Raw genomic sequence first — 23,841 nt, forward strand, 5'->3', positions numbered from 1 at the left:
GCTACTCCATAGACAGAGCAGCCCTGAGGGCTGCTGGTGCCCATTTTTATGGCTGTTTCTTGATTATATGCTAAACAAGGGGTGGATTATTCATGCCTCCCCCTTTTAGACCTATAGGGTAACTTCCTGACGTTGCCATGACATTTGTAAACTGTCATGGCACTGGTGGGAGTATAGCAGTGACGATGACCAGAGATCACTCTCATTTCTGTCTTGTTTTTGGTGGGTTTTAGCCAGCTTCTTTACTGTAACCTGCTTTATCAGCAAGGTCTTTATGACCTGTATCTTGTGCTCCCTATCTTCATCCTTTGAGTTAGAATTCCTTAACTGTCTGGGAATACAGCCCAGTAGGTTTCAGTCTCATTTACCCAGCTCCTATTCAAGATGGAGTCGCTCTGGTTCACACGCCTCTGACAGTTCTAGGCTTCACATACAGTTAAAGTATTCCAGAGACAGAAAAAGAATCTCTGCTCTCTTTTCTCTCTATTGCATTTTAAAAATTGAGATACATTCACGTACCATACAGTTCATCATTTTAAAAGTATACAGTTTGGTTTTTTTAATATATATTCACGGTGATGTAGAACTACCACTATCTAATTCTAGAACATTTTCATCTCCCCCAAAAGAGTCCCTATATCTTTCCATTAACTGTCACTCTCCATCTCTCCCTTTTCTCAGATCATTTGCCCATTTTTTAATTGGGTTGTTGTATTAGTGACTTGTAAGGGCGCTTTCTATGTTCTTAAGTTCTTTATCAGATAAGATTGTTGCAGATACTTTCTTCCAATCTGTGGCTTATCTTTTCATTCACTTACCAGTGTCTTTTGCAGAGCAGAGGTTTTTAATTTTAGTGAAGTCCACTATATCAACTTTTTCTTGCATGTGGCATGACTTTAGTCTTGTACCTACAGACTCATCTTGAAACCATGTGACCAAGTTCACTTATATTTTCTCCTAATAATCCTCTAGAAGCTAATAGTTTTGCATTTTATTTTTAATGCATGATGTAGTTTGAGTTACTTATTTTTATTTTAGTGTATATGCATAACATAGTTTTTAAAGTTTCAGTTCAATAGCATTAAGTACATTCACATTGTTGTGTACTCATTACCACTATCTGTCTCTAGAATTTTTTCATCATCCCAAACTGAACTCTGTGCCCATTAAGCAATAACTCCCTAGCTCCTGGTAGTCACTATTCTACTTACTGTCTATGAATTTAATTACTGTAGGTACCTCATATAAGTGAAATTATGCCATATTTGATTTTTTGTGACTGGCTCCTTTCCTTTCCTTTCCATTTCCATTTCCATTTCACTCTCGTTGCCCAGGCTGGAGTGCAATGGCGCGATCTCGGCTCACTGCAACCTCCGCCTGCCGGGTTCAAGTGATTCTCTTGCCTCAGCCTCTCAAGTAGCTGGGATTACAGGCGCCCGCCACCACGCCTGGCTAATTTTTTTGTATTTTAGTAGAGACGGGTTTGCACCATGTTGGCCACGCTGGTCTCAAACTCCTGACCTAAGGTGATCCACCCACCTCGGCCTCCCAAAGTGCTGGGATTACAGGCATGAGCCACCGTTACCAGCCGTGACTGGCTTATTTCACTTACTACAACGTCCTTAATGTTCATCCATGTTGTGACAGTCAGTTTCCTTTTTTTTTTTTTAAGGTTAAATGATATTCCATTGTATACATGTACCATATTTTGTTTAAACATTCATAAGTTGAACACTTGGGTTGCTTCTACGGTTTGGCTGTTGTGAGAGAATTCTGTGAATTTGGGTATATAAAAATCTGTTCAAGTCCCTGCTGTTGTTTCTTTTGAATAGATAGCCAAAAGTGGAATTGCTGGGTCATGGAGTAATTCTATTTTTAATTTTTTGAGTACCTGCCAAACCATTTTCCATAGGGGCTGCACCATTTTACATTCCTACCAACAGTGTGCAAGGCTTCTAATTTCTTCATGTCCTTGCCAGCACTTATCTTCTTATTTAAGAAAAAAATCACAGCTGCTGTAGTCTGAATGTGTCTCCCAAAATTCATGTGTTGGGAACTTAATTCCCAGTGCAGGAGTATTGCGAGGTGGCGCCTTTTGGGAAGGGTTTATGTCATGAGGGCTACACCATTATCAATGGATTAATGCTGCTATTAAAAAGGGCTTGTGGGAGAGGGCTCATCCTCTTTTGCCCTTCCACCTTCTGCTTTGTGAGGATGCTGTAAGACTGTCCACCCCAGATGCTAATACCTTGTTTTGGACTTCCCTGCCTCCAAAACTGAGAAAATAAATGTCTGTTATTTATAAACTACCCAGTCTCAAGTATCCTGTTATAGCAGCACAAAACAGATTAAGACAGTAGCCATCCTAATGAGTATGTGGTGATACCTCATGGTTTTGATTTGCATTTCCCTAATGATAAGTGATGTGTATCTTTTCTTTTTTCTTTCTCTTTTTTGTTTTTTTGGGGGACAGATTTTTGGTCTGTCTCTTAGGCAGGAATGCAGTGGTGCAATCTTGGCTCACTGCAAACTCCGCCTCCCGGATTCAAGCAGTTCTTCTGCTTCAGCCCCCAGAGTAGCTAGGAACACAGGCATGCGCCACCATGCCTGGCTAATTTTTGTATTTTTACTAGAGACAGGGTTTCACCATGTTGGCCAGGGTGGTTTCAAATTCCTGATCTCAAGTGATCTGTCTGCCTCAGCCTCCCAAAGTGCTGGGATTACATACATACATGAGCCACCGCGCCCGGCCTATGTGTATCTTTTCATGTGCTTCTTGGCCATTTGTGTATCTCTTTTAGAGAGGGCTATTCAGTTTCCTTGCCTGTTTTTAATTGAGTTGTTATTTTGTCTGTGAGTTGAAAAAGTTTATTATATATTCTAGGTATTAATCTCTTATCAGATATGTGATTTGCATGTATTTTGTGCCATTCTGTAGATTGCCTTTTCACTGTCTTGATAGTATCCTTTGATATATGAAGGTTTTTCATTTTGATGAAGTTTGATTTTTATGTATTTTTTCTTTTGTTGGCTGTTCTTTTGGTGCCATATCCAAGAAGTCATTGTCAAATCCAATACCAGGAAGCTTTCCTCCATGTTTTCTTCTAAGGGTTTCATAGGTTTTGCTTTTATGTTTAGATTTTTGGTCCATTTTGAATTAACTTTTATATATGGTTTAGGGTAGCGATCCAACTTCATTCTTTTTAATGTGGATATCCAGTTTTTCCATCACCATTTGCTGAAAGACTGTCCTTCCTTTCTCATTAAATGGCCTTGGTACCCTTGTTGCATATCATTTGTGACATATATGTATTTACTTCTGGGCTTTTTATTTCCAGGCTTTTAATTTATTTTTTTAAAAGACTAGGCCGGGCGCAGTGGCTCATGCCTGTAATCCCAGCACTTTGGAAGGCTGAGGCGGGCAGATCACGAGGTCAGGAGATCGAGACTACCCTGGCTAACATGGTGAAACCCCGTCTTTACTAAAAATACAAAAAATTAGCCGGGCATGGTGGCGGGCGCCTGTAGTCCCAGATACTCGGGAGGCTGAGGCAGGAGAATGGCATGAACCCGGGAGGTGGACCACGCTTGCAGTGAGCGGAAATCGTGCCACTGCACTCCAGCCTGGGCGACAGAGCGAGACTCCGTCTCAAAAAAAAAAAAAAAAAAAAGACTGGGCTTTGCCATGTTGCCCAGACTGGACTTGAACTCCTGGGCTCAAGTGATTCTCCTGTCTAAGCTTCCTCAGTAGGTAGAAATACAGGCACACACCACCATGCCCACTTGGGCTTTTTATTCTGTTGGTCTACATGTCTGTTTTTATGCCAGAACCACACTGTTTTGATTGCCATATGTTTATAGTAAGTTCTGAATTCAGAAAGTGTGAGATAATTTTTTTTCTTTTTCAAGATTGTTTTGGCTTTTGGGGGTCCCTTAAGATTCTATATAAATTTTAGGATGGAGTTTTCTCTTCTTGCAAAAAGCATCATTGGGATTTTGATAGGACTGGCATTGAATCTGCAGATCACTTTTGGTAACAGTGATACCTTAACTATATTAAATCTTTAAATCCATGAACATGGGATGTCTTTATGTTTATTTATACCTTCTTTAATTTCTTTCAGCAGTGTCTTACAGTTTTAAGCATAGAGGTCATTCACCTTCTTCGTTACATTTATTCCTAAGTATCTTATTCTTTATGATGCTATTGCAACTTGAATTTTTTTTTTTTTTTTTTTTTGAGGCTGGGTGTCACTCTTGCCCAGGCTGGAGTGTAGTGGGGTGATCATAGCTCACTGCAAACTTGAACTCCCAGTTTCAAGTGATCCTCCCACCTCAGCCTCCTGAGTAGATGGGACCACAGGTGTGCGCCAGCACGTCTGGCTAAGTTTTTTGATTATTATTATTTTTTGAAACAGAGTTTCACTGTTGTTGCAGGCTGGGGTGCAGTGGCGCAATCTCGGCTCACCACAACCCCCGCCTCCCGGGTTCAAGCGATTCTTCTGCCTCAGACTCCCATGTAGCTGGGATTACAGGCAGGCACCACCACACCCAGCTAATTTTGTATTGTTAGTAGAGACAGGTTTTCACCATGTTGGTCAGGCTGACCTCAAACTCCCAACCTCACATGATCTGCCTGCCCCAGCTTCCCAAAATGCTGGGATTACAGGAGTGAGCCACTGTGCCCAGCCGTTTTTTGATTATTAGTAGAGACAAAGTCTCACTATGTCGCCTGGGAGGGCCTCAAATTCCTGAGCTCATGCTGTCTTCCTGCCTTGGCCTCCCAAAACATTAGGATTACAGGTGTGAGCCACTGGACTCAGCCCAATTTGAATTTTCTAAGTTTCATTTTAACATTGTTAATCTTTAGTGTATAGAAATGCAGCTGATTTTTAATGTTGATTTTGTATCTTGTAACTTTGTTAAATTCATTTATTAGTTGTAACAGGTTTTTTGTGTGTGGAATTTTTAGGGTCTTATGAGATCTTGTCATCAGCGAACAGAGATAATTTTACTTCTTCATTTCCAGTTTGGATGCCATTTCTTTCTTTTTCTTGCCGTATTACTCTGGCTAGAATTTCCAGTATTGTATTATACTGAATAGAAGTGGGGAAAGTGTGCATCTTTGTCTTGTTTCTGATCTTAGAGGAAAAGTTTCCAGCCTTTTTCCAGCCTTTCCCCATTGAATATGATGTGAAGTATGGGTTTTTCATATTTGGCCTTTATTATTTGAGATAATTTTATTCTTTTCTTAGCTTTCTAAGTGTTTTTATTATGAAAGTGTGTTGAATTTTGTCAGATGCTTTTACTGCATCAATTAAGATGATTATGTGGGTTTTTCCTCTTTATTTTAATGTGTTGTATTACATTGATTGGTTTTCATAGGTGAACTGTTATTACATTCTTAGAATAAGTCCTTGGTTATGGTGTATAACCATAATAAACTGCTTAATAAACTGTTGAATTTGGTTTGCTAATATTTTGTTGAGGATTTTTGCATCAATGTGCATAAGGAAAATTGGTCTGTAGTTTTCTTTTTTTTTTTTTTTGAGATGGAGTCTTGCTCTGTCACCCAGGCTAGAGTGCAGTGGCATGATCTCAGCTCACTGCAACCTCCGCCTCCCAGATTCAAGCAATTTTCTGGCCTCCGTCACCTGAGTAGCTGAGATTACAGGCACGCACTACCACGCCCGGCTAATTTTTGTATTCTTGGAAGAGGCATGGTTTCACTATGTTGGCCAGGCTGGTGTCGAACTCTTGACCTTGTGATCCACCCGCCTCGGCCTCCCAAAGTGCTGGGATTACAGGCATGAGCCACTGTGCCTGGCCCTATAGTTTTCTTGTAGTGTCTTTGTCTGGCTTTTTTAGAGTATGGCAGTACTCCCTGATCTGTGATTTTGCTCTCTGTGGTTTTGCTTTCCATGGTTTCAGTTACCCGAAGTGGGCTGAGGTTTGATAATCCTAAATGGAAAATTCCAGAAATAAAAATTCATAAGTTTTAAGTTACACGTCACATTCTGAGTAGTGTGATGAAATATTTTGCCATCTTCATCTTGCTCCATTCCTTCGTCCAGCATTTACACTCTATATGCTGCCCATCTGTTAGTCAGTCAGCCATCAGTTATCGGATGGACTGCAGTATCACAGTGCTTGTGTTCAAGTAGCCCTTATTTTATTTAATAATGACCAAAAGCACAAGAGGACTGTGCCTAATTAGAAATTAAACTCAATCATAGGTGTGTGTAGGAAAAAACAGTATATACAGATGGTCCCAAATTTGATGGTTGAACTTAAGATTTTTCAACTTTACCTTGATGCAAAAGCAATATGCATTGAGTATGCACCTCTACTTATGGTTGGGTTGTCTGGATAAGCCCATCGTAGGTTGAATATATCATAAGTCTAAAGCGACTTTCAAGTTAGTATATTTTCAACTTACAGTCGGTTTATTGAGACTTAACCCCTTTGTAAGTCGAGGAACAGCTGTATAGGGTTTGGTACTTTTCGAGGCATCCACTAGGGATCTTGGAATGTATCCTCCTTGGATAAGGGGGCAACTACTGTAATGCTGGCTTCAAAGAGTGAGTTAGAAAGTGCTCTCTCCTCTTCATGTCTTGGGAAGAGGTTTAATTCTTAACTCTGCTGGAATTCTGGGAGGTTTTTGATTACTGATTCAATCTCCTTACTAGTTATAGGTCTATTTATATTTTCTGTTTCTTCATGATTCATTTTTAGTAGGTTATGTGTTTCTAGGAGTTTGTCCATTTTGTTTCATTTATCCAGTTTGTTGGCTAATTGTCTATGAGACTCCCTTATAATCCTGTTTCTGTAAGGTTGACCATTATTATCTTCTGTTTCATTTCTGGTATTAGTAATTCAGGTCTTCTGTTTTCTTGGTTTGTCCATTAGTTTGATATTTTCATTAAATCAATTTTGGTTTTGTTGATTTTCTCTTCCCTTTCCTTTTTCTGTTTTTTTTGTTTGTTTGTTTTTTGAGACGGAGTCTCGCTCTGTCACCCAGGCTGGATTGCAGTGGCACGATCTCTGCTCACTGCAAGCTCCCCTGCCTCCTGGGTTCAAGCGATTCTCCTGCCTCAGTCTCCCAAGTAGCTGGGACTACAGGCATCCGCCACCACGCCTGGCTAATTTTTTTTATTTTTAATTTTTAGTAGAGATGGGGTTTTACCATGTTAGCCAGGATGGTCTCGACCTCCTGACCTCGTGATCCGCCTGCCTCGGCCTCCCAAAGTGCTGAGATTACAGGCCACTGCGCCCGGCCTCCTTTTTTTTTTTTTTTTTTTTTTTTTTTAAGGCAAGGTTTCACTCCCTTCTCCCAGACTGGAGTACAGTGGTATGATGATGGCTCATTGCACCCTCAACTTCCTGGACTCAGGCGATTCTCCCACTGCAGCCTCCCAAATAGCTGGGACTATAGGTGTATGTGCCACCATGCTTGGGTAAACTTTTTCTTTTTTGTATTTTTAGTAGAGACAGGGTTTCACCATGTTGCCCAAGCTGGTCTTAACTTCTTAACTCCTGGGTTCAAGTGTTCTGCCCACCTTGACCCCCCAAAGTGCTAGGCTCACACTGCACCCGGCCTGATTTTGTCGATTTTTCTGTATTGCTTTTCTATTCTGTATCACGTTTGTATCTGCTCTGATCTTTCTTTCCTTGCTTTGAGTTTAGTTTGCTCTCTTCTAGTTTCTTACAGTGGAAAGTTAAATTATTGATTTGAGATCTTTTATAACCACACATCTACAGCTGTACACTTCCTGTTAAGCGCTGCTTTAAGCTGCATTCAACTGGTGTGTTACATTTTCATTTTTGTTCAAATGAAAGTTTTGTAACTTTCCTTGTGATTTCTTTTATCTGTTATTTAGGAGTATGTTTAAATATTTTAATATTCATGAATTTTCCAAATTTTCTTAAGTTAATGATGTCTAATTTCATTCTGTGTGGTCAAGAACATAGTTTGTATAAATTAACTCCTTTTAAATTTATTCAAACTTGTTTTACAGTCTTCTCATGTGCACTTGAGGATTTATATCTTGTTGGGAAGAGTGTTCAATAAATGTCTGTTAGGTTTAGTTAGTGTTCAGTGTTACTGAAGTCTTCTATTTCTTGCTGATCTTCTAATTGTTCTATCAGTTACTGAAAATGGGTATTGAAGTCTCCAGCTATTGTTGATTTGTGTATTTGTGCCTTTTATTTTTAGAGAGTATTGATGCCGGTAGGTGAGGACGATGGCTTTTTTTTTTCCTAAACGAGACTGGAGTCTCACTTTGTGGCCCAGGCTAGAGTGCAGTGGTGCAGTCATAGCTCATTGTAGCCTTAAACTCCTGCACTCCAGCGATCTTCCTGCCTCAGTCTCCTGAGGAGGTGGTACTACAGACACATGTCACCATGCCTGGTTAATTTTTAAATTTTTTGGAGAGATCGAGTCTCACTGTGTTGTCTATACTGGTCTTGAACTCCTAGCCTCAAGTAAATCTCCCACCTGCCACCTGAGCCTCACAAAGTGCCAGGATTACTGGCATGAGCTACTGCACTGGGCCTATTTTTTTCCCCCCCTAAGAGATGGGGTTCTTGCTGTGTTGCCCAGGCTGGACTTGAACTCCTAGGCTCAGGTGATCCTTCCAAATAGCTGGGACTACAGGTGCACACCACCGCTCCTGGCTGAGAATGATAATTTGATGTTGCATTGTATAAATGTTTTTAATATTGATTCTAAAGGGGTCCTATAAATCAATATGAAAGATTAAAGTCACCAATAAAAAATTGACAGAAGATGAACAGGCAGTTCACAGAAAAAGAAACGCAAATTCCTAATCATAGGAAAGAAGCTCAGCTTCATTGGGAGTAAGGGAAATACAAAATAAAATTAAATAACCATTAAAAAAATCAAATTAGCAAAAATTTTAAAATTATTATTATTTGAGATGGAGTCTCACTCTTTCCCCCAGGCTGGAGTGCAGTGGTGTGATCTTGGCTCACTGCAGCCTCCGCCTCCTGGGTTCCAGTGGTTCTCCTGCCTCAGCCTCCTGAGCAGCTAGGATTACAGGCACTTGCCATCACGCCTGGCCAATTTTTGTATTTTTAGTAGAGATGGGGTTTTGCCATGTTGGCCAGGCTGGTCCTGAAATGCCTGCCTCGGCCTCACAAAGTGCTGGGATTACAGGCATGAGCCACTGCACCTGGCAAAAAATTAAAAAATTATTATGCAGTCTTAGGATATGGCAGGACAGGTATCCTCCAGAATTGTTAAGGAGACTGTAAGTTGTTCTTTTTTTAAATTGTTAATGAGACTGTAAGTTCTTTTCTTTTTAGCAATCTGTTTAAAGCTTTTTTTGTGGTTACCTTTACATATTATTAGGAATACCTCCCCATATTCATCACCCTACTGCAACAAGGCCAATCTTGTTTTACCTGCATTTTCTGTATACTGGTTTATGTCTTGACTGCATTGAATCCAGGTTTTTTGTTTCACTTTGTTTTTTCAAAGAATACTTCTTAAGTGGTGGTATTTTTTTGTTGTATTACATCATGTGGCAAATGATCTCTGTCTGTGATGTTATGATTGATCAGGTTTCAGGTGTTATCAGTTTGATTATTCCCTTGTACCTTGTCAGCTTTTACCCAGTGATTTCAGTGGCCATTAATGGTCATGGCCTAGATTCACTATTTCAGTAAGGCTGTGAAGTGGCAGGATTCTAAGTTAATTATTCCTTTCTTCATTCGTTAGCCGATTTTTTTTTTTTTTGAGACAGAGTTTCGTGCTTGTTGCCCAGGCTGGAGTGCAATGGCGTGATCTTGGCTCACTGCAACCTCCTCCTCCTAGGTTCAAGCCATTCTCCTACCTCAGCCTCCCTAGTAGCTGGGATTACAGGCACCCGCCACCAAGCCTTGCTAATTTTTGTATTTTTAGTAGAGATGGGGTTTCACCATGATGGCCAGGCTTGTCATGAACTCCTGACCTCAAGTGATCCGCCTGCCTCAGCCTCCCGAAGTGCTGTGATTATAGGTGTGAGCCACTTCCCCTGGCCCAGAGTTAATTTTTGCTGTTACAGTGTTTTAGCTTTGTGCATATGGCACCTCATAGTTTAGGGATAAAGTAGAATTGTTGCTTCAAAGGGTAAATATGTAATTTGTCTAGATGTTGCTGAATTTTCTTCCATAGTGGTGTACCATTTTTCATTCCTATTTGCAGTTTGTGTTTCTTTTCAGTTGCTTCATCAATAGTTTACAAACGTTTGAATTTTTGAACTTTTAATGTCTGATACTGAGAACTTGTGTTTGAATTTAGCTTAATTTTGCATGTTTCTTAATACAAGTGAGGCTACTAAGGGACATTTGATTTCAGTGAACTGGTTCATATTTCTTGCCAATCTTTTTATTGGGCTGTTAGTCTTTTTCTTAACATTTTTAGAAGCTTTTTATATGTTAGAGATAGTTGATTAGGTGACATAAGATGAAGTATTTTTTTGACTCTTAATTAGTGAAACTTTAAAATTATAATTGGATTCTAAATTAGAATGTGTATATTCTTTGGCCCTGCAACTTCACTTCTAGAAATTTATCCTAGAATGCTAATAAAAGGATATTAATAGTCCCACCATTTTCACCCTTATGTGTATAGCCAAGGGAACTGGAAACATGTTCATACAAAAACTTGTACATCAATGTTTATAGCAGCATTATTCATAATAGCCAAAGATGGAAACAACCCAAGTGTCTATGAACTGATGAATGGATAAACAAAATGCAGTATATCGATGCAGTGGAATATCATTTAGCTATAAAATTGAATGAAATACTGACACATGCTACAACATGGATGAACCTTGAAAATATGCTGATTGGAAGAAGCTAGACACAAAAGGCTACATGTTGTGTGATTCCATTTATGGATTCTATTTATGTATGATCCCAGAATAGGCAAATCCATAGAGACAGAAAGTAGATTAGTGGTTCTGAGGGGAAGTAGGGGGAGAAGGAAATGAAGAATGTCTCCTAATAGGTGTAGGGCTTCTTTTGGGGGGTGATAAACATGTTCTGGAGTTAGATAGTGGTGATGGTTGTATAATCTTGTGAATATTCCAAAAACCGCTGACTTGTGTGCACTTGAAAATGGTGAATTTTATGAGATGTGACATATTTTTAAAAAATAAAATGTATAACCTCAATCTAATCATGAGAGAATATTAGATTAATTCAAATTGAGGGACACTCTATAAAATTATTGGTGAAGAGTATACTAGTATTCCCTGAAAGTATCAAGATCATGAAAGTAAAAAAATAAAAGTCTTGGGAACTGACTTAGATTGGAAGAGCCTAAAGAAATGTGAGAACTAAATGCAGTGTTAAATCTTTGATTAGATTCTGAACCAGAAAAAGAAAATGGGAAAAATGGCAACATTCAAATAAGGTATGTAGATTAAAGTTTTGTAGCAATGCTAATTTCCTGGTTTAGATAATTATACCATGGTTATAGAAGATTTTAACATTTGGGGAAGCTGGGTGAAGGATATACAGGAACTCTTGGTTTTTGCAACTTTTCTGTAGGTTTAATATTATTCCAAAATTTAAAAAGTTAATTGCAGCAGTTTTAAATAAGTGAAAATTCCATGTACTCCTATCAGTATTCGATTGGTTAAAATTATGGCACATTCATACAATGAGATACTGAGTAGTTAGCTATTAAAAAGAATGTGGGCCGGGTATGGGGGCTCATACCTGTAATCCCAGCACTTTGCAGTAAGCTGAGATCACGCCACTGCACTCCAGCCTGGGCAACAAAGCGAGACTTCATCTCAAAAAAAAAAAAAAAAAAGCTAATTAAGAAACAACCCTTATACTTAATGGCTTAAAACAACAACCATTTATTACAATTCTTTGGGTTAGGGGTTTGAGTGGAACTCAGCGAGAGTTCTTCACTGATTTCTCTTGGTGTGTCTCATGCTTCTGCAGTCACCTGCAGGCCTGATTGTAATTGGGTCGTCTAAGATGGCCTTGCTCCTATGTCTGACAGTTGGTGATGTCTGTTAACTGGTTTGTCTGTGAGGCCTTGATAGGGAGAGTTTCTTATCCTCTCATATGCCTGTGGCAGGAAGATATTTCTCCTTGTGGTAGTCTTGATCTTTGGCAATCTAGGTTCAGAAATCCATGTTTTGTCTTCACCTGACTGTTGGTTAGAGGAAGTTGTCAAACCAGCTTTGATCTAGGGACATGGAGAAACAGATTGAACCTTTTGATGGAATTGGCAGCAAAGTCATATTGTGAAAATGTGTGTGTACAGGAATGAGAGCAATTTGTAGCTCTTTGTTTTTGCAGTTCTTTGTTTTCTCAGTTTTCCACAGGAGTGATGGAATAAGATTTGTATTTTTAAAAAGTTCACTCTGAGTGTAATGTCACCACAAGTTTGGAGGGGACAGGGAAAACGAGTCAAGGCAGGGTTAACAGGTCATTGCAGTAATCTGTGGGAGAGATGATAAATAAGAGGGTGCAAAGACATTATTGCACACTTTTCATCCTCTGCTTCTAAACATCTCTGGAATTGAGATATCTCAAGATATTCCATACTGATTTAAAGTCATCCGAGCTGCCCCTCAGGCCTTTGAGCATGTGATACCCATACCCATCTCTCTTATTATGTAGGTAAAGAAACTTCAGCCCTAGAGAAGTTAAGTTGCTAAGGAACACGTAATTCGTAAGGGACAGAGCAGTCAGATCTTGGAAACTTAGTTTCTTGAAGATCCAGTTGATTTTCTACTAAAGCTCCAGTGATTTGCGTCGATGGGATAGATCGAAAGTCTATAATCTTTTTTTCTTTCAAGATAGAGTCTTGCTATGTCACCCAGGTTGGAGTGCAGTGGCGGGATTTCGGCTCACTGCAAGCTCCGGCACCCGGGTTCAAGCAATTCTCCTGCCTCAGCCTCCCAAGTAGCTGGGACCAAGTAGCCTGCCACCATGCCTGGCTAATTTTTATATTTTTTAGTAGAGGTGGGGTTTCACTATGTTAACCATGCTGGTCTTGAACTCCTGACCTTGTGATCTGCCCGCCTTGGCCTCCCAAAGTGCTGAGATTACAAGCTTGAGCCACCACACCCAACCGAAAGTCTGTAATCTTAGCACCTTCCCTTATTAGGGAAAGTGAAGGCATCAAGGATAACACAGAATGAAGTTTTATTTTAAATGACAGAGGTAGGCCCTAAATTTTTTTACACATTTTTACACATTTTTTTCTATACCATTTTAAGATAATAGATTTCTTATATTTCTTTGCTAATTTTCATAATAACTTTCTTTTTTAGCTACAAGGCTTTGGCCGACCAAGTGTGTACCATGCTGCTATTGTCATCTTCCTTGAATTCTTTGCGTGGGGCCTGTTGACAACTCCAATGTTGACTGTAAGTATTGCTGAACTGGGTTTGTGTTTTGTAAGAGAAAGAGATAAGTTCTTAGGCACGTATCACTGTGTATGTCTAGATACGTGTTTGGGAGTAGCTCTTGATAGTGATTTAAAACAGCTTGTTTCATTGTTTTTTTTTTTTCCATTGTGGTTTCTGAACCACATGTAACACAAAACACCTCTTTAAATATTCCTGGGTAGCACTGCACTCTTATTGAAGTAAACTTGGGGGTGCTGTTATACAAACGAACTGTATATGTTTAGGAAGATCCTTAAGATACTCTACAGCAGCAACTCCCAAACTTTTTTAGCACTAGGGACTGGTTTCGTGGAAGACAATGTTTCCACAGAATTGGGTTGGTTGGGGGATGGTTTCAGGATGAAACTGTTCCACCTCAGACCATCAGGCATTATTAGTTAGATTCTCATAATGAGCGCAACTTAGACCCCTAACATGCACAGTTCAGAGTAGGGTTTGCACCCCTATGAGAATCTAATGCCGCTGCTGATCTGACAGGAGGCAGAACTCAGGTGGTAATGCTCGCTCGCCTGCTGCTCTGTGTGGCTGGGTTCATAACAGGCCACGGACTCATAGGGTCCTGTCCTACAGGAAATTGCAGAGCATTGTTGAAGTCTGTAACTTCTTTAGGAGGATATTAATGGTCTTTGACTTAAGAACATAGTAAATAGCAGATTGGTGAGTACTTTGTAACAATGAGTAATAATTGTAGGAGTGTCTAAATTTCAGTTTTTCGTAGCTTATCTATAGCCATTTCTTCAGAGGTGGTATTGAATATCTTAGCAAGAACTTGTATGTTTCATCTATGATGCGGTTAGAAGGAAGAGAGATGCCAAAGAAAAGATGACGGGGGCAGATATTAGGTGGCTTACAACTATTTAACACTTAATTTTAATAAAATATTTTAAACTGGAGTTAAGTTTCAGTTGTCTTAATTATTCTTTAAAAATTATTGATGGGCCGGGTACAGTAGCATATGCCTTTAGGCCCAGCTATTCAGTAAGCTGAGGCAGGAGGATTGCTTGAGCTCAGGAGTTCAAGTCTAGCCTGGGCAACATAGCAAGACCCCATCTCTAAAAAAACAAAAATTAAAAAAAAAATTGGAGCTTAACTCTTCCTAATCATCATTTTGCCTTACTAAAGAATCCCTCTGGGTACGGATAATCTTTGTTCTTAAATAAGGTTTAGACAGCAGAGAACTTTAGAGGGTGGCTGTTAGCCCGTTAGCCTTACGTAAGACTTTGCTGTGAACCTTTTAAAGTTTTTAATTCTTCTGGCACAGTTAAAATACAGTTTGAGGCCTGGTGCGGTGGCTCACGCCTGTAATCCCAGCACTTTTGGAGGCCAAGGCTGGTGGATCACCTGAGGTCGGGAGTTCGAGACCAGCCTGACCAACATGGAGAAACCCTGTCTCTACTAAAAATACAAAATTAGCTGGGCATGGTGGTGCATGCCTGTAATCCCAGCTACTCAGGATTCTGAGGCAGGAGAATTGCTTGGACCCAGAAGGTGGAGGTTGCAGTGAGCTGAGATCGTGCCATTGCATTCCAGCTTGGACAACAAAAGCAAAACTCCATCTCAAAAAAAAAAAAAAAATACAGTTTTATTCATTAAAATTATAACTTGGGTGGAACACAGGACTTAAAAATTGCCTGCATCCTTAATCCTTTTTTTCTTATTGCAGTAGTTTTTCCTTCATAGTAGGAAACCTATAGTAGGTTATTAGTTATTAGTTAATGAGGATAATTAGTCCCATTTTGAGTTTCATGAGATTCTAATTTTCCTCACTGTTTGCATAGTGCTGCCTGGGATATAGTCGGTGCTTAATAAATATATTCTTTGAACAAATACATGTGTTTGTTCAGGACACATTTTTAATATGAATATAGATAAACCAAATCACTTTTTTTCCCATTTAGAAAAATTATGGTAAAATACACATAACAAACTTACCATTTTCACTGTTTTGAAGTATACAGTTCAGTAGTATTAGATACATTTCATTATGTTGGGTATCTGTGACCACCATCCATCTCTAAAACTCATTTCATCTTTTAAAAATGAAACTTTAGGCCGGGCGCGGAGGCTCACGCCTGTAATCCCAGCACTTCGGGAGGCTGAGGCAGGTGGATCGCTTGAGGATGGGAGTTCGAGACCACCCTGACCAACATGGTGAAACCCAGTCTGTACTAAAAATACAAAATTAACTGGGCGTGGTGGTGCACACCTGTAATCCCAGCTACTCGGAAGGCTGAGGCAGGAGAATTGCTTGAACCTGGGGGATGGAGGTTACAGTGAGCCAAGATCGTGTCATTGCACTCCAGCCTGGGCAACGAGTGCAAAACTCTTTCTCAAAAACAAACAAACAAAAAAACCCAACTCTGTGATAGTTTGACTATGCTATAATGTGTGTAGGTGTGAATGTCTTTTTTGTTTATTTTACTTGGGGTTTGTTGAGCTTCTTGTTTCTGTAGATTAATGCTTTTCATCACGTTTGGGAAGTTTTTGACCATTATTTCTTCAAATATTTTTACTGTCCCTTTACTCCTTTTGAGACTCTCCTTATAGGCAAGTTCCCACCCCACCCCCCCCCCCCCCCCCCGACAGAGTCTTGCTCTGTCACCCAGGCTAGAGTTCAGTGGCGTGATCTCAGCTCCCTGCATCCTCCGCCTCCCGGGTTCAAGCAATTCTCCTGCCTCAGTCTCCCGAGTAGCTGGAATTACAGGCTTGTGCCACCACGCCCGGCTAATTTTTGTATTTTTAGTAGAGACGACGGGAGGGTTTCACCATGTTGGCCAGGCTGGTCTCGAACTCCTGACCTCCTGATCCGCCCGCCTCGGGCTCCCAGAGTGCTGGGATTACAGGCATGAGCCACCGTGCCTGGTCATAGGTAAGTGTTTTACACTTGATAATGTCTCATACATCTCTGAGGAGCTGTTTATTTATTTTTATTTTTTTGCCAATTGTTTTCTATGCTTTTGTTTGAATAATTTCTATTTATTTGTCTTCAAGGTTACTGTTTCTTTCTTTGTTCATCTTAAATTGTCTGTGTTGTCACTTTAGTGGATTGTTGATTTGGATTACCAAATTTTTAACTGCAGCATTTCCACATTTCTTTTTTATAATTTTTATATTCTATTTGAAATTTCCTATTCACTGAGTGATTCACATACTTTGTTTTTTTTGGAGATGCAGTCTTTCTCTGTCACTCAGGCTGGAGTGCAGTGGCATGATCTCGGCTCACTGCAACCTCCACCTCCTGGTTTCAGGCGATTCTCAGCCTCCCGAGTAGCTGGGACTATAGGTGTGTGCCACCACGTCCGACTAATTTTTGTATTTTTAGTAGAGACAGGGTTTCACCATATTGGCCAGGCTGGTCTCGAACTCCTGACCTCAAGTGATCTGCCTGCCTCGGCTGGCCTCCCAAAGTGCTGAGATTATAGGCATAAGCCACCACACCTGGCCCATACTTTCCTTTAATTCTTTTTTTTTTTTTTTTTTCACGAGTGGGGTCTCACTATGTTGTCTAGGCTGGTCTCAAACTCCTGGGCTCAGGCAGTCCTCTTGCCTCAGTCTCCAAAAGTGCTGGGATTACAGGTGTGAGCCACCACACCTGGTCTCTTCTAATTCTTTAAACATGGATTCGTTTAGTTCTTTGAACATATTTATAGTATCTGCTTTGAAGTTTTCGTCTGCAATATTCAACATCTGGAAACACTCAGAGACTCCTCGTGTTGACTCCCTTTTTTACCTGAGTGAGTTATATGTTCTTGTTTCTTTGCATATTGCAATCATTTTTTGTTAAAACCTGTATATTTAGATAATATAGTTTTGCAATTTTGGGTTTTTTTTTTTAAGAGACAGGGTCTTGCCCTGTTGCCTAGGCTGAAATACAGTGGCACAATAATAGCTCACTGCAACCTCAAACTTCTGGGCTCAAGCAATTGTCCTGCTTCAGCCTCCTGAGTAGCTAAGACTACAGTTGTGCACCACCACGCTTGGCTAAAGCTTCAACTTTTTTTTCTTTTTTTTTTTTTTTTGAGACAGTCTCTCTCTGTTGCCCAGGCTGGAGTGCAGTGGCGGATCTTGGCTCACTGCAACTTCCGCCTCCTGGATTCGAGCGATTCTCCTGCCTCAGCCTCCCGAGTAGCTGGGATTATAGGTGCCCGCCACCATGCCTGGCTCTTTTTTTTTGTTTTGTTTTGTATTTTTAGTAGTTACAGGGTTTCACCGTGTTAGCCAGGATGGTCTCGATCTCCTGACCTCGTGATCCGCCCACCTCGGCCTCCCAAAGTGCTGGGATCACTGGCGTGAGCCACTGCACCCGGCCTTTTGTTTTTATTTTAGAGATGGCGTCTTGCTATGTTGTCCAGGCTGGTCTTGAACTCCTCCTCGCCTCAGACAGTCTTCTCACCTCAGCTTCCCAAAGCATTGGGATTACAGGCATGTGCCACTACACTTGGCCATGGATTTTGATTTTTTTCTCACCTTGAAGGTTGTTTTTGTTTTGCTTGTTTAGTAACTTGCTTGGACTAAATCTGTGAAGTCTCTACAGTATGCAGCTGCTGATGTCTCTTTTCAGTTTTTATTTTTATTTTTATTTTTAAGCTTGGCTTCCTTGGGTTCTCTGTCTCCATTATTTAGGGATCAGTCAGATTGGTAAGAGATTATAGTTAAACACCTCGAGCCAGTAAACTTTCAGCTCTCTACTAATGGATCTGTATGTGAGCTGGAAGTGCATTCTTACTTCAGGCCATTTTCAGTTCTTCCCTGGCTTTTGTTCTCTGCCAGATTCTCTTGAAATCTCTGTATGTGCAGCTTCTGATGGCCAAGGATGTATGAGTGGCTTGAGTGTGTTCCAGTCTCTTATATGTGTGTGTATCGTCTAGAGTCAACCGATTTGGGGAGAGCTTTTCAAGCCTCTTGTGGCTGTCTCACCTCCTACAACTACCTGTTATATCCCTGGCCTAACCCACTAGTCTTCCGTGTTTGCCCCATTAACTTGACAACACTCCAAATCCAACGAGTCCTCTCAGGCAGCAGCATGCCCTGCTTAAACTGATACCCACAGAGCTGGGATTGGGGGAGGGGCAGGAGTCTGGTAGCGGCTCAAAACTGAAAACCACCATTTCTGCCTGAAGTTCAGTAACTTAATAAATAAATGCTCCCAGTTTGTTTTATGCCTTTGATTGAATTCCAGAGCACTGAAATAGGTTTATACAGCTGTACTGAAAGATAATTTGTTAATCTTTTTATACTGTCATGTCAAATGTGAGAAGTCTGACAATTTTTTTTTCTTGTAGATATTGGGTTTATAATACTTTTTTTTTTTTTTTAAATTCAAGGCCAGGCGTGGTGGCTCATGCCTGTAATCTCAGTACTTTGGGAGGCTGAGGTGGGCAGATCACGAGGTCAGGAGTTCGAGATTAGCCTGGCCAACATAGTGAATCCCCGTCTCTACTAAAGATATAAAAAGTAGCCAGGCATGGTGGCATGCGCCTGTAGTCCCAGCTACTTGGGAGGCTGAGAAAGGAGAATCGCTTGAACCCAGGAGGCAGTGATTGTGGTGAGCCGAGATCATGCCATTGCACTCCAGCCTGGGCAGCAGAGTGAGACTCTGTCTCAAAAAAATTAAAGTTAAAATTAAAAAATAAATAAATGAAAGAAATTCAAATCAAACCATTAGAGGGTTCCTATATTTCTGAGTAATATAGTTAGAAAAACCAGTGGACTAGCTGATATCTCAATACTTTATGCACTTTTCAATTTCTGTATTTCCCTGATTGTCCTAAAAACTAGAAAATAGGAAAGCTGTTCTCCTACCCTCGCAATATAAAATTATAGGATTTTGAGCTGTGTAGGAGTTTGATCTGAGGAAAATATGATTCTATAGAATGATATATTTTCCTAAAGTTTCCTCATGGCTAAAATAAAATAGGAACCAGATACCTTTTTGTGTAAGCTTTTAATGGAAGTATAATGTGTACAGAAAGATGTACAAATTATAAATACACAGCTTGATGAATTTTTATACAGTAAGTACACTTATATATCCAGTACTGTACCACACTCCCAGAAACAATCCTAAGTAATTTCTGTCCTTGTCACATTTCTAATGTGACAGTTTGGCCTTTGTGTTTGTGTGTTTAATATTATATAAGTGGAATCATACAATGTATACTCTTTGTTGTCTGGCTTTTTTGGCTTAGTACGTTTATGAGATTAATCCATGTTGTATGTAGCAACATTTCATTGTTGTATAGTGTGTTCTTACATAACCACATATGATTTTCTGTTATCTTGGGCAGGAAAGGATTAATTCAGCAGGCCCAAGTTGCTCAAGTCTTTCATGTTCCCAAGAGGACCATTTTCTGTGACTGTTCCTTGACAGGCCAGAATTGAGCTCTTGGAATATTTTGCGTTTTGTGTGATTGAATCTTTGAACTTGATTGTTCCAGTTTGTGCAAACAGCATTATTTATGGTGAACACCTTTCCTTCTCGTGAACTAGAGAGCTTTGGTAGCTGGTCATTCATTGTGTACCTTGAAGATCACCCACCAAGAAAAACCCTGGACTCCTAGGCTTTTGTGAGCTTCCATAGCAGACAACACTTCACATAATGTTGTTATAGTTTCTCTTTTTCTTTTCTTTTCCTCCGAGACAGAGCCTGGCTCTGTTGCCCAGGCTGGAGTGCAGTTGCGCTATCTCGGCTCACAGCAGCTCCGCCTCCTGGGTTCAAGTGATTCTCCTGCCTCAGCCTCCCGAGTCCCGGCTAGTTTTTGTATTTTTAGTAGAGATGGGGTTTCGCCATGTTGGCCAGACTGGTCTCAAACTCCTGGCGTCAAGTGATTCACCCGCTTCGGACTCCCAAAGTGCTTGAGCTACTGTGCCTGGCCATTGTTACAGTTTATTGCTGGAGGGATTAAATGCTTTATGTGTGACTCCACTGGGAGAGGACTCTTAGAAGCATGCACCTGGCTTCCTCCAGACTTTGCCTGATGTCCCTTTTGCCTTTGCTGATTTTGCTTTGTGTCCTTTTGCTGTAATAAACTGTAAGTATAACAGTTTCAGAGTCCTGGAATCCTCTTAGCAAATTGCTGAACTTAGAGATGGTCCTGGAGTCTATTGACACAAATCCATTCTGCTGTTGGACATTTGGGTTTCTGGTTTTTGCCTATTACAAATATTGCTGTTGTAATATTTCTTGTATATATCTTTTGGTGAACATGTATACGTGTTTCTTGGGGTATATATCTGGGAGTAAAATTGCATGGTTGTGTTCAGCATCACTATGTAGTGCTAAAAGTTTTCCAGAGTGGGTGAACAATTTACTCTTCAGCCAGGCAGACTCCATGTCTTCACCAGCAATTTGAATTCTGGTAGGTACATTATGGTCTTAATTTGCATATTCCTAACGACCAATGAAGTTAACCCCCTTTACGTATAACATATATTTATTGGCCATGTGAATATCTTTTTGTTAAGTGTCAGTTCATGTGTTTCATCAGTTTTTAAAAAATTGGGTTGTGTCCCTTTTTCTTATTTGTAGGAGTTCTTTATATATTCTAGGTACAATTTTTTTCATGTGTACGTTTGTCTCTATACGCACACATATACTTATTATTGATATATTTTCCTTATTCTTGGATTGTCTTTCTTCCTTTTTTTTTTTTTTTCTAGATGGAGTCTTGCTCTTGTTGCCTAGGCTGGAGTGTGCAGTGGTGCGATATCGGTTCACTGCAATGTCTGCCTCCCGGGTTCAAGCAGTTCCCCTGCCTCAGCCTCCCAAGTAGTTTGGAATACAGGCGCGTGCCACCAAGCCTGGCTAATTTTTGTATTTTTAGTAGAGATGGGGTTTCACCATGTTGGGCAGGCTGATCTTGAACTCCTGACCTCAAGTGATCTGCCTGCCTTGACTTCCCAAAGTGCTGGGATTACAGATGTGAGCCAGAATGCCCAGCCTGGGATTGCCTTTCTGTTCTCTCTCTCTCTTTTTTTTTTTTTTTCAGGGTAGGCAGGAAAGTATTTTTATTATAAATTTCAGGATCTAAAAAATATTTATTACATTTGCTACGATTAAGGTGACCTTTAAACCAAGCCACGTGTGCCCTGCATAGTGACGTCGTGACCCTCGGGCATGGAAAAAGACATAGGTCTACCCAGATAACCCGGATAACCTTCTGAGGTCTCTTCAGCCCTTTTCGCTAGTGGTCACCCACCACTATGGTTACTTGCCAGCAACATCTTTATTGCTGGATGGTCCCTGTGTATAACCCTGGTCTAGTATATTTTTTCCAATATGTGACCTCAGTCTTACTACTGACTAGTTCTGTGGGTCTCTTGCTAGGTGGTAAGGATTTTTATACTTGGGCTTATAGAGCCAGTTAGATCATAACTCTTATGAAATATAGAGTGTCCTAAATATCACTGAAATAAAAAGTAGGAAAAAGAAGCTTGAATTTTAAGACTGAGGCTGCTCTGAAGATTCTAGTTTGGCTTTCAGAGTTCAAGAATGGTGGCATCTTCACCTGAATTCTTCAATGTCAGGGCCTTTCTGTTCTCTTAATGCCTTTGGATGACACTAATTTTAATTGAATTTAAGTTTTTATGTAGTTGAATTTATTTTTGCTTATGGTTAGTGTTTTTAAAAAATCCTGTTTAAGACAACTTTTTCTACCACAAACCTTAATTGGTTTATTGTTCTCATGTAGTCCTATCATCCAGAAAGATCATTGTGTTTGGTAGGGGGTCAGTATTCACTTTGGTTGCAGAAGAATATATAGTTGAACCAGCATCATTTATTGAAAAAATTCTTCTTTCCCCACTGTACTGTGTCACCTTTGTCATAAATGAGACAACCGTCCATATATGGGTTTGTTTCTAAATTTTTTAGTATTCTGTTGAGCTATATTTCCTTGTGCCAACACCATCCTGTGTTAACTTCTATAGTAATATGTTTTTTTTTGGCGGAGGGGGGAGCAATGGAGTCTCACTCTATCACCCAGGCTGGAGTGCAGTGGTGCGATCTCGGCTCACTGCAACCTCCGCCTTCTGGGTTCAAGTGATTCTCCTGCTTTAGCCTCCTGAGTAGCTGGAATAACAGGCATGCACCACCATGCCTGGCTAATTTTTGTATTTTTAGTAGATACTGGGTTTCACCATGTTGGCCAGGCTGGTCTCGAACTCCTGACCTCAGGTTATCTGCCTGCCTCAGTTTCCCAAAGTGCTGGGATTGCAGGTGTGAGCCACTGCGCCCAGCCATAATATCTTGTATAAATTCCTTAGTGTGGTTCATTTTCCTCAAGATTGCCTTGGTCTAAGCCTTTTTTATGTCTGTATATATATATTTTATAATCAGCTCTTCAATACCCACAAAATAATCTGCTAAGAATTTTTATTATGATTGCATTGACTATAGATTGATTGTGGAAGAATGGACATATTGTTTTCTGCTTTTTTTTTTTTTTTTTTTTTTTATTCTTTGATTGAGAGTCTCACTCTGTTGCCCAGGCTGGGGTGCAGTGGCTAGATCTCAGCTCACTGCAACCTCTGCCTCCTGGGTTCAAGTGATTCTCCTGCCCCGACCTCCTGAGTAGCTGGGACTACAGGCGTGTGCCACCACAACTGGCTTTTTTTTTTTTTTTAAATAATAAATATCGGGTTTCAGCGAGGCTGGTCTTGAACTCCTGGTCTCAAGTGAGTATGTTGTGGAGAAATACTTTGAGACTGTCCAGATATCTTGTTCCTTTTCTGTTGTCCTACTAATTTTAGCATCCATAAATGCTTGTCTGCAACAGTTTTTACTGTGGTATTTGTGTAATGACATCTGTTTCCCTATCTTGTTCAAGATCAACCTCGGCGAAACCCCATATCTACTAAATTAACCAGGCATGGTGACGCACTCCTGTAATCCCAGCTACTCGGGAGGTTGAGGCAGGAGAATCGCTTGAACCCGGGAGGTGGAGGTTGTGGTGAGCCGAGATCGTGCCACTGCACCTGAGCCTGGGTGACAGAGTGAGACTTTGAATCAAACAACAACAAAAAGACAGTATGTCTGTTCTTTCCCAATTATTCTGTGGTCAATGCAATCATAATCAAAATTCTTCGCAAGTTATTTTGTGGCTATTGAAGAGCTGATTATAAAATATATGGAGACATAAAAAAGGCTTAGACTAAGGCAGTCTTGAGGAAAATGAGCCACACTACAGAATTGGTCATGGATGAAATCATGGGGCGTTGAAGCTGTCTTCTTGAGTTGAGTCAGTTCCTGAGTTGGGGCCACAAGATCAGATGAGCCAGTTTATCGATCTGGGTGGTGCCAGCTGATCCATTAAGTGCAGGGTCTGCAAAATATCTCAAGCAGTGATATTAGGAGCAGTTTGGGGAGGGTCAGAATCCTGTAGCCTCTAGCTAC

General features: G+C 40.4%; 1 protein-coding gene across 4 annotated transcripts in view; it reads left to right on the forward strand.

Moving 5' to 3' along the window:
- SLC71A2 (solute carrier family 71 member 2) overlaps window positions 1-23,841 on the forward strand; it is an 86,626-nt gene that overhangs the window by 27,431 nt on the left and 35,354 nt on the right. For all 4 annotated transcript variants that reach the window (XM_017015218.2, NM_032558.3, XM_017015219.3 and 1 more), the window contains exon 2: window positions 13,311-13,406. In XM_017015218.2, coding sequence (XP_016870707.1) covers window positions 13,398-13,406 — 9 coding nt within the window. In that variant the 5' untranslated portion in view covers window positions 13,311-13,397. The remainder of the gene's footprint in view (window positions 1-13,310; window positions 13,407-23,841) is intronic.

The sequence above is a fragment of the Homo sapiens genome, chromosome 9 (genome assembly GCF_000001405.40).
Source record: "Homo sapiens chromosome 9, GRCh38.p14 Primary Assembly".
In the NCBI taxonomy this organism is placed as follows: Eukaryota; Metazoa; Chordata; class Mammalia; order Primates; family Hominidae; genus Homo; species Homo sapiens.